This window comes from Homo sapiens, chromosome 10 (genome assembly GCF_000001405.40).
Source record: "Homo sapiens chromosome 10, GRCh38.p14 Primary Assembly".
NCBI classification, from domain to species: Eukaryota; Metazoa; Chordata; class Mammalia; order Primates; family Hominidae; genus Homo; species Homo sapiens.
The window spans coordinates 99756433-99766960 of NC_000010.11; the positions used below are offsets into that span (position 1 = coordinate 99756433).

A 10528-nucleotide genomic window follows, 5' to 3' on the forward strand; every position below is an offset into this window, starting at 1 on the left:
TCAAAGACCTATAGTAAAAACTAGAGGGGGGTTAGGAAAGTTATCAAAGCAGCAGTTTCTTTCTACTGAAGTCACAGATGGGAAAGATGGATTCTAGTAATGAAATATTTTTCCTATGACCAGGTCCCAATGGTAAAGTTCATCACTACCTGTGTCTGTCACTTTCATATTTATAATCTCATTTTACACAAACAACACACTGATAATAGAACTGTTGTTCCTATCTTAGGAGAGTAACTGAAGCATAAAGAGCTTCCCCTTGGCCAGGAAGCCTCTGAATAACATGCACAGATTGTGTACTAATGAATGTTTATATGAAGAGTCTTGCCTTTATTTATTATTTATTTATTTTTGAGACAGAGTCTCACTCTGTCATCCAGGTTGGAGTGCAGTGGCACAATCTTGGCTCACTGCAACCTCCACCTCCCGGGTTCAAGTGATTCTCCTGCCTCAACCTCCTGAGTAGCTGGGATTACAGGTGTGTGCCACCATGCCCTACTAATTTTTTATATTTTTAGTAGAGATGGGGTTTCGCCATGTTGGCCAGGCTGATCTGGAACTCCTGGCCTCATGATCTACCTGGCTCAGCCTCCCAAAGCGCTGGGATTACAGGCTTGAACCACCACACCCAGCCTAGATTTTAGGGACTTTGATCTTTCAGGATTTCAACATTCAGGATTATAGCATTCAGGATTGTGTCTTTGGGGATTATGATCCAAACCCCTCTTTATGTATAAAGCAAGATATACATACAGTCCATAACAAATATACAGTGTATTTATGGTATTAAAATTTCAGGAGAGAGGAGTGTTTAGGGAAAAGGAGTGACCAAAAAATCTCCTTAGACATGATAGTCAAGAAACACTGAACTAGGATAAGGTACTGACAAGGGAGAAAGTCATGGTTAAAGGCATAGTCATAGTTAAAGCGAAAGCAGTAAAAATGTGATATAAAATGGATTTAATGTGAACTTATTTTGCTTAAAATGTGTCCTATTAAGGAATACATCATATGAACATTATCCAGAAGTACAAAAATAATGCAGATGTTTTAAGAAATCCAAATACTGAAATAGGATGGTATTCACATCTTTTCCTGTCTTACAAAGAATTATTTATATTAAATATTTATTAATCTTTGGACTTTTTTGGTATAATGAGGACAGTGGCTGGAGAGAGGAAAATTGGAAGAAGCCTAGAGAGGCTACACGATTTATATGAAAAGGGCATAGAGTTACCTCAGGAGGAAGAGAAGAGATCTAGGAGCAATAGGGGCTGGGAAGTAACCACAGGTGAGCTCAAATAGCCTGAGATCTTTTAGGAAAAAGAAAGGAGATTCAGTGATACGAGAACTTTGAAGAGAATGGCAAGGAAGTTTTAAAGAAGGTTTCTTTTCGGTTGACATTATCAGATGTTATAATTGCCTATTTGCCATCTCTTCAAAATAATAGAATTTTGTAGTATTTGCAAAAATTTTGGAGTGTGACACTGTTGAAAAACAAACATGAATATGTATTTATTCCATTGTATAAAAGCAATAATTTAGAAATTAAAAGAACGTTGCAGAGATCTCTAAATAGAGCTAAAGATTTTTTTCTAAAGTAATGTTTTTGTTTTGTTTCTTAGATAAGCTGTTTTTCCCCCAAATAGTAGAAAAAGCCCATGTAACGTGGGCTTATTACTTTGCAAACCATTTTTTCTAAATACCCCTACCAACAGTTTAAGCAGAGCATTATGCTTGATCTTATATTTTACTAGCCAGCTGTTCTCCATCACTATTTGTCTTTCTGTTCTCTGCCAGGAAACCTCATTTATATCAGCCTTAAATCCTAATTTACATGCATTCACTATCTTTTTTGTTTAATCTTGGTAAATCAAAAATCAGTTAATCTGTCCCTGGATAATTGTATCTATTACAACAACTAAGAGGAAATATATTCTTCTGTCTTTGGAGAAATACCAGTTAAGATTACAACATAGCACTGGGAAGTACAGCTAATCCCCAAACAATGAAGGCATTAGGAGTGTTGACCCCCTCATACAGTCTAAAACTTACATAGAACTTTTGACTCCCCCAAAACTTAAGTTAAATCCTGTGAAGTCATGCACAACATCTGGACAGTTTTCTCTAACAGGAATTTGTTTTTATCTTGATGGCTTTCATGGGTTTTTCTGTTAACAATAGTGACATCTTCAGTAATGTAATACCTTCAGATTTTCGTAATGTTGAATCAGGGTTCTCTTCCATAGTGTTGACAGTCCTTTTCATAGAGGACCATGTGTAATGATCCTTAAAGGTCCTTATGATCCCTTGATCTCGAGGCTAAATTAGAGACATTGTGTTTGGGGGCATGTAGACCACTTTGATGCTTTCAGGGTTGAACTCTTGGGGTTCTGCATGGCCAGGGGCATTGTTCAATATCAAAAGAACTTTAAAAGACAGTCCCTTATTGGCAAGGTCCTTCTGACTTAAGGGACAAAGTGTCTGTCTGAGTCCATTTGTGTTGCTATAAAGGAATATCCGTGGCTGGATAATTTATAAAGAAAAGAGGTTTTATTTGGCTTACAGTTCTGCAAGCTACATGTTCCATGAAAGGGCCATATATATTCAAAGCCAGAAGGAGTTGAGAAAACAAACGAGGCAGACAAATCCAATTTGTCAGTATTGTATGGTTTATTGAGGGAATTTACAGACAGAAGCATGGTCTTGGGTGGCTGCAAGACAGGTAGAGAACTCTGCCCCATAACCCCCCAGACCCAGGGATTATATCTTAGGAAAAAGTATAGGTGGTCTGGTAAGAATGTATAGGTGGCTACAGGAATTGCAGCGTATGATTTCTGCACCAACAGGGATTGTTTTGGAGGAAACTTGTAACGAATAGGTGTTTCTACATAAAGAGTAATACATCAACTAAACATTTTGGAGGCATTCCTGGACTCAGGGTTAGCCAGGTGGATTAGCATTTAAAATAAAGTCACTTCTGTCTCCACACTGTTCAAGAAGCATGGCACCAGCATCTGCTTCTGATGAGGGCCTCAGGAAGCTTCCATTCATGGCAGAAAGCAAAGGGGAGCCAGAATGTACAGATTACATGGCATGAACAAAAACAAGAGAAGGGGGAGGAGGTGCCAGGCTCTTTTTAGCAATCAGTCTGGGGAAACTAATAGGGTGAGAACTAATAGGACAATAGGACAGCACCAAGACATGCATGAAGAACATGCTGCCTTGACCCAAGCATCTCCCATTAGGCTCCCACCTCTAACATTAGGGATCAGATTTCAACATGAGACTTGGTGGGGGCCAAACAAACCGTATCCAAAGCATAGTATTCTGCCCCTGACCCCCCAATCCCATGTCCTTCTCACATTACAAAATATAATCTTCCCATCCCCAAAGTCTTAACTTGTTCTAGCATCAATTCAAAAGTCCAAAGCCTCATCTGAGACTCAAGGTAAGTTCCTTACAGCTGTGAGCCTATGAAATGAAACATATTATTTGCTTCCAAGATACAGTGGTGGTACAGGCACTGAGTAAACATTCCTGTTCCAAAAAGGAGAAATCAAAGAAAGGGGGCAATAGGCCCCGTGCAAATCTGAACCCCAGCAGGACAGACATTAAACCTTAAAGCTCTAAAATCTACTTTAACTTCACATCCTACAACCTGAACACACTGGTGTAAGGAGTGGGCTCCAAAGCCTTATGCAGTTCTGTCCCCGCAGCTTTTCTGGGCATGGCTCAAGTGAGCTGCTCTCATGGGTTAGAGTTGAATGCCTGTGACTTTTCCAGGCTGAGGGTGCGTGCTGTTGATGGTTCTACCATCCAAGGTCTGGAGGGCAGTGGCCATGTTCCCACAACTCCATTAGGAAGTTCCCCAGTGGGGACTCTGCAGGGGTTCCAACCCCACATTTCTGCTTTGCATTGCCTTAGTAGAGTCTCTGTGGGGACTGCCCCTGTGGCAGGCTTTTACCTGGGCACTCAGGCTTTCTAATACTCCTCTGAAATCTAAGTGGAAGCTGGCAAGCCATGACTTGCATTCTGTGTGCCTGCAGACTTAACACGGAAGTTACCAAGGCTTATAGCCTACATCCTCCAGAGAGGCTGGAGCCAGAAGAGCTGGGATGCAGGGAGCAGCATCCTGAGGCAGGAGCCACACAGCAGCAGCACCTGGGATTGTCCCTCAAACTATTCCATCCTCCTAGGCCTCTAGGCCTTTGATAAGAGGGGTAGCCTTGAAGATTTCTGAAATGGCTTCATAGCCTTTTTCTCATTGTTCTGACACCTGGCTCCCTTTTATCATTGCTAATCTCTCTAGCAAGTGATTGGACTCGGCTAATCCAATATTCTTGGATTCCTCTCCTGAAAATGCCCTTTCCTTCTCTACCACACGGCCAGGCTTCAAATTCGCTAAATTTTTATTCTCTGCTTTTAAGTTCTGACTTTAGGTCATTCCTTTGTTCACATATTTGATTGTAGGTTGTTAGAAGCAGCCACACTTTGTTTTTTTTGGAGACAGGGTCTTGCTCTGTCACCCAGGCTGGAGCAGTGGCAGGATTATGACTCACTGCAGCCTTGATCTCCTGGGATGAAATGATCCTCCCACCTCAGCCTCCCAGTAGCTGGAACTACAGGCACATACCACCACACCCAGCTAATTAAAGAAAAAAAAATGTAAAGTTGGAGGACTCACTGTGTTGCCTAGGCTGGTCTCAAACTCCTGGGCTCAAATGATCCTCCTGCCTCAGCCTCCCAAAGTGCTGGGATTACAGGCATGAGCCACCATGCCTGGCCTCACCACTTATTGAACGCTTTGCTGCTTAGAAAGGCGTGGCCTTTACTGTCTGTATTTCTGTCAGCACTTTGGCCACAACCGCTCACACAGTCTAATAAATCCCAAACTTTCCCTTATCTTCCTGTTTTCTTCTGAGCCTTCTAAACTCTTCCAACTTTTGCCCATTACCCAGTTCCAAAGCCACTTCCACATTTTCAAGTATCTTTATAGCAACCACCCTCTCCTTGGTACCAGTTGTCTTCCTTAGTTCATTTGTGTTGCTATAAATGCCTGAGGCTTTGTAACTTGAAAAGAAATTTTATTTGGCTCACAGTTCTGCAGCCTGTACAAGAAGCCTGGTGCCAGTATATCCTAACCACAACATCATTGATTGGACCAATCCAGAAAAAGGGTTCTGATTGTCCAGGCCCTCTTGTACAGTCAAAAGACTGGCAGCTGGTGTTTATCTTTTCCTTTGAAGGCTCAGGGGTTAGCTGCTATATAGACAAGGGCTGTCCTAATAATAAACCTGACTGCATTTGCACAAAACAGTAGAGTTAGCTTTTCCCTTTCTGCCTTAAATCTTGATGCTCGATTCTCTTCCTTACTAATGTGTTTTGTGGCATTTTTTCCTTACTGATAAATGTGTTTTGTGGCATTTTTTTGTGGCAAACTGATGCAGACAGAAAACCAAATACCCCATGTTCTCACTTATAAGTGGGAGCGAAACATTGGCTACATATGGACAAAGACGGGAGCAATAGACACTGAGGACTACTAGAGTGGGGAGAGAAGGAAAGAGGGAAGGGCTGAAAAACTACCTATTGGGTACTATGCCAACTACCTGGGTGATGGGTTTAGTGATACTCCAAACCTCAGCGTCTTGCAATATATCTTTGTAACAAATCTGCACATGTATCCCCTGAAGAGTACAAGTTGAAAAGAAAAAAAAAAGCCCCTGTAGGCTGGGCATGGTGGCTCATGCCTGCAATCCCAGCACTTTGGGAGGCCAAGGCGGGTGGATCACTTGAGATCAGGAGTTCAAGACCAGCCTGGCTAACATGGCAAAACCCCGTCTCTAGTAAAAATTTAAAAAGTAAAAAAAATTAGCCAAGTGTGGTGGCACGCACCTATAATCACAGCCACTCAGGAGGCTGAGATAGGAGAATAGTTTGAACCTGGGAGGTGGAGGTTGCAGAAAGCTGAGATCGCGCCATTGCACTCCAGCCTGGGTGATGGAGTGACTCTGTATCAAAAAAAAAAAAAAAAAAAAAACTATAATAAACATGTTTATTGTATTAAACATGTTTCCCTGAGTTCCGTTAGCTACTCCAACAAATCAATCAAACCTGAGGAGGGGGTTGTGGGAATTCAGATTTATAGTTGGTCGGTGACAAGCACAGGCAAAATAATCTGGGGCTTGCAATTGATGTTGGAAGTTGGCTGGTGAGGAGTGGGAAGTTGGGGGACAGTCTTGGGGACTGAGCCCTCAACCTGTGGGATCTGATGCTATCTTCAGGTAGATAATGTTGAGATTGAATTAGAGTACACCGAGCTGGTGTCTGCTGCAGAAGTGATTGCTTGCTTGGTGTGTGTCAGGGAGACCCTCACTCCCCACATTTGGTCATAAAAGTCCTCTGTGTTGATTGTTGTGAGAATAGAAAAAACACTTTGAGTTTTCCTACTCTCGGAAAGATCAGTATATGAAATAAATTGTATTGCTTTACACTAGCAACAAACAATCCTAAAATGCAGTTAATAAAAGTTCAGTTTATAATAGCATCAAAAAGATAAAATGCTTAGGAATAAATGTAATCAAAGAAGCGTAAGACAGGCCAGATGCAGTGGCTCACACCTGTAACCCCAGCACTCTGGGAGGCCGCGACGGGTGGATGATGTGAGGTCAGGAGTTCCAGACCAGTCTGGCCAACATGGTGAAACTCTGTCTGTATTAAAAATACAAAAATTAGCCAGGTGTGGTGGTGGGCACCTGTAATCCCAGCTACTTGGGAGGCTAAGAAAAGAGAATCACTTGAACCTGGGAGGCAGAGGTTGCAGTGAGCCAAGATCGCACCACTGCACTCCAGCCCAGGCAACAGAGCAAGGCTCAGTCTCAAAAAAAAAAAAAAAAAGTGTAAGACAGTATACTGAAAACTACAAAACATTGTTGAAAGAAATTTTAAAAGACTTAACAATGAAGAAATAAATGGAAAGACATCCCATGTTCATAGATTGGTAAACTTACTACTTTTAAGATTCCAACACTCTTCAATTGATCTACGGAGTCAATGTAATTGCTAGCAGAATTCCAACTGCCTTTTTGTGTAAAAGTTGACAAATTGATCCTAAAATCCATCTGGAAACGCAAATGCCCCAGGATAGCCAGAAAATCTTGAAAAAGAAGAACAACATTTGATGACATACTTCCTGATTTCAAAACTTACTACAAAGCTATGGTAATCAAGGCCATGTAGTACTGGCATAAAGATAATTATATAGCTCAATAGGATACAATTGAAAGTCCAGAAATAAGCACTTACATTATAGTCCATTGATTTTTGACTAGGATTCCAAGACAATTCAGTGGGGGAAAGAATGGTCTTTTTAACAAATGATGCTTAGACAACTGGATATCCACATGCAAAAGAATAAAGTTGGACCCTTACCTTACACCAAATGCAAAAATTAACTCAAAGGGTCATAACCTAAATTTAAGAACTAAAAAACCTTTTAGAAGAAAACGGGTAAATCTTTGTGACCTTTGGGTTAGGCAAAGCCTTCTTAGACATAACATCAAAAGCATGAATGACAAAAGAAAAAAATTGGATAAATTGGATTTTATCAAAGTTGGAAACTTTTATGCTTCAAAGTGGCATCAATAAAGTGAAAAGACAACCCTCAGAATGGAAGAAAATCTGCGAATCATATATACAATGGGGTCTTGTATCTAGAATATGCAAAGAACACTTACAACTCAACAATAAACAATAACCATTTCCCATCCTGGCTAACATGGTGAAACCCCGTCTCTACTAAAAATACAAAAAATTAGCCGGGCGTGGTGGCGGGCGCCTGTGGTCCCAGCTACTCCGGAGGCTGAGGCAGGAGAATGGCGTGAACGTGGGAGGCGGAGCTTACAGTGAGCCGAGATCGTGCCACTGCATTCCAGCCCGGGCGACAGAGCGAGACCCTGTCTCAAAAAAAAAAAAAAAAAAAGAAAATAACCATTTCTCCAAAGAAGGTATACAACTGACCAACAAGTACATGAAAAAATGCACATCATTCGGGAGGCGGAGCTTGCAGTGAGCCGAGATTGCGCCACTGCACTACAGCCTGGGCAACAGAGCAAGACTCCATCTCAAAAAAAAAAAAAATGCACATCATTAGTCATTAGGGAAATGCAAATCAAAACCACAATGAGATACCACTTCATACCCGCTAGGATTACTGTAAGCCAAAAGTCTGACCATATCAAGTGTTGGATAGAATGTGAAGGAACTGTAACCTTCATATGCCACTGATGGGAATGTAAAATGGTGCCACTCCTTGGTAAAACAGTCTGGGAATTACTCAAAATGTTCAACACAGAGTTGCCATATGACCCAGCAATTCCACTCCTAGGTATGTACTCCCAGAGAATTGAAAACATATGTCCTCACGAAAACTTGGTACATGAATGTTCATAGCAACATTATTTATCTCTTAGAATTAGAAAACAGTTTTGTAACTAACTCCAAATGAAATAAATCAGTCAAAGATTACCAATGCTAAAACCGTTTGGTAAATGTTGAATGGGAGCTGAATATCCACAGTGCCAAAATATCACCCTATAGGTTACTTGCTAGTCATAAAAATAGAAAATGTCATAATTGACTATCTGGTTGTTTTCACCTTAACCCAGTAATCAAACTTAACATTACTAGTGGGAAATTATACTGCTGAAGGACAGAATACAGGTTGGACCACTTGGAAAGCAGCTGAAATATTGAAAACTCTTTTTTTTTTTTTCCAAGACAGAGTCTTGCTCTGTCGCCCAGGCTGGAGTGCAGTGGCGTGATCTCGGCTCACTGCAACCTCTGCCTCCCGGGTTTAAATGATTCTCCTGCCTCAGTCTCCAGAGTAGCTGGGATTACAAGCGCACGCCACCACACCCAGCTAATTTTTGTATTTTTAGTAGAGACGGGGTTTCACCATGTTGGGCAGGCTGGTCTCAAACTCCTGACCTCGTGATCCACCCGCCTCAGCTTCCCAAAGTGCTGGGATTACAGGCGTGAGCCACCGCACCTGGCCCATTGAAAACGTTTATGGTTAGCCTTTGATCAAGCAAGAGTGATTTACAAACAGCACCAGTTCATAAGGTGGCCAGCCATCCTTGTTTGCTTGGAACTTTTCCGGTTTTTGCATTGGAAGTCCCACATACTGAAAAATTCATCATTGGTCCCTGAGCCAGCAAAATTACTTTTGTACCCCTTCTCCAGGTTCTCACCTCCCTGCTCGAATCCTGGAATTAGGGAAGGAGGAATTGAATAACAAGGAAAAATGATAAAAAGTAATGAGACTTTGTTCCCCAGAAGTAACTGGTCCCTGAGCCAATAAAGGAGAGAAGCTTTTTTTTTTTTTTTTGAAGGAGGGATATTTTTACTTAATGAAAGCACATGTCATGAAATTTTAAAAGGCAAAAGCATCGCAAGTCATAATGAAATTCTCATTTCCTCCTTCCAAGCTTATTTATTTTCTAGCAAAATATATTGTTTCAACTCCCAGGCTTAAGGGAAATAATCTTTGATATAAGAAGTTATTGTGGAAAGTCATTAAGCTGTCATGCCCAAACCAAATGTTCATACCCCACTCCTTATCAAAGAGCACCAGAAAATGCACCCACACAAGATCCCCTGCAAGCAGAGACCATATGCTTTGTTGAAATGGTTGAGCTAAGAGATCAAAGAAGCTTTAATAGAAAACCAAAGCCATACTCAAACCATCCTGCAGCTAAAACAGAATCTCAGCATGTCAAAGCAGAAAGGAAAATCAGCATGAAAAGATATTTTATTTAACACTCACAGGACGCTGCCTAGGAACCAGGCACTATTCCAGGCACCGTCCAAGTGTTCACTCATCGAATCCCTGCTGCAAACTGTGAGGCAGGTGGTATTAGCTCAGTCATCCCCATTTCACAGATGGGGAAACTGAGGGACGGAGCACTTAAGTCCTGTGCACCCAGGTAGCTAGATCCAGAGTCCACGACATGCATGTGACCACTCTACTACACAGCCATGTGGTTGTGGTCTAGAGGTGTTAACTAACTTGCCAGCGGTTAGCACTGAACGATTGTGTGGGTTTCATACAGGACTGCGACCCATCTTTTAAAAAAGTTCTTGCTAAGAATTACCACAAAAACAAACGTGTATGGCATCTAAAAACTAAAACAGTGCTAGGCATGGTGGCACGAGCCTGCAGTCCCAGTGACTTGGGAGGCTAAGGTGGGAGGATCTCCTGAGGCCAGGACTTCCAGACCAGCCTGAGAAACATAGCAAGGTCCCATCTCTACAAATAAATACATAAACAAATAAATATAAATAAAGCATATGCAGCCTCAGCGACATTTTAGGCAGTTTAAGAACATCTCTACTCTACTATTTTTCCTTTTTTTTTTTTTTGAGACAAAGTCACTCTGTCACCCAGGCTGGAGTGCAATGGCACAATCTCGGCTTACTGCCACCTCTGCCTCCCGGGTTCAAGCGATTCCCCTGCCCCAGCCTC

At 41.6% G+C, this 10528-nt stretch overlaps 2 annotated features.

Moving 5' to 3' along the window:
- Positions 4767 to 4967: a silencer, noted in NCBI's record as "peak1067 fragment used in MPRA reporter construct". NCBI's record gives its function as "represses an SCP1 promoter by STARR-seq MPRAs in K562 erythroleukemia cells {active_cell/tissue: K562}" and the evidence as "EXISTENCE:reporter gene assay evidence [ECO:0000049][PMID:32103011]".
- Positions 10087 to 10136: a silencer, noted in NCBI's record as "silent region_2698". NCBI's record gives its function as "represses an Ori minimal core promoter by ATAC-STARR-seq in GM12878 lymphoblastoid cells {active_cell/tissue: GM12878}" and the evidence as "EXISTENCE:reporter gene assay evidence [ECO:0000049][PMID:35858748]".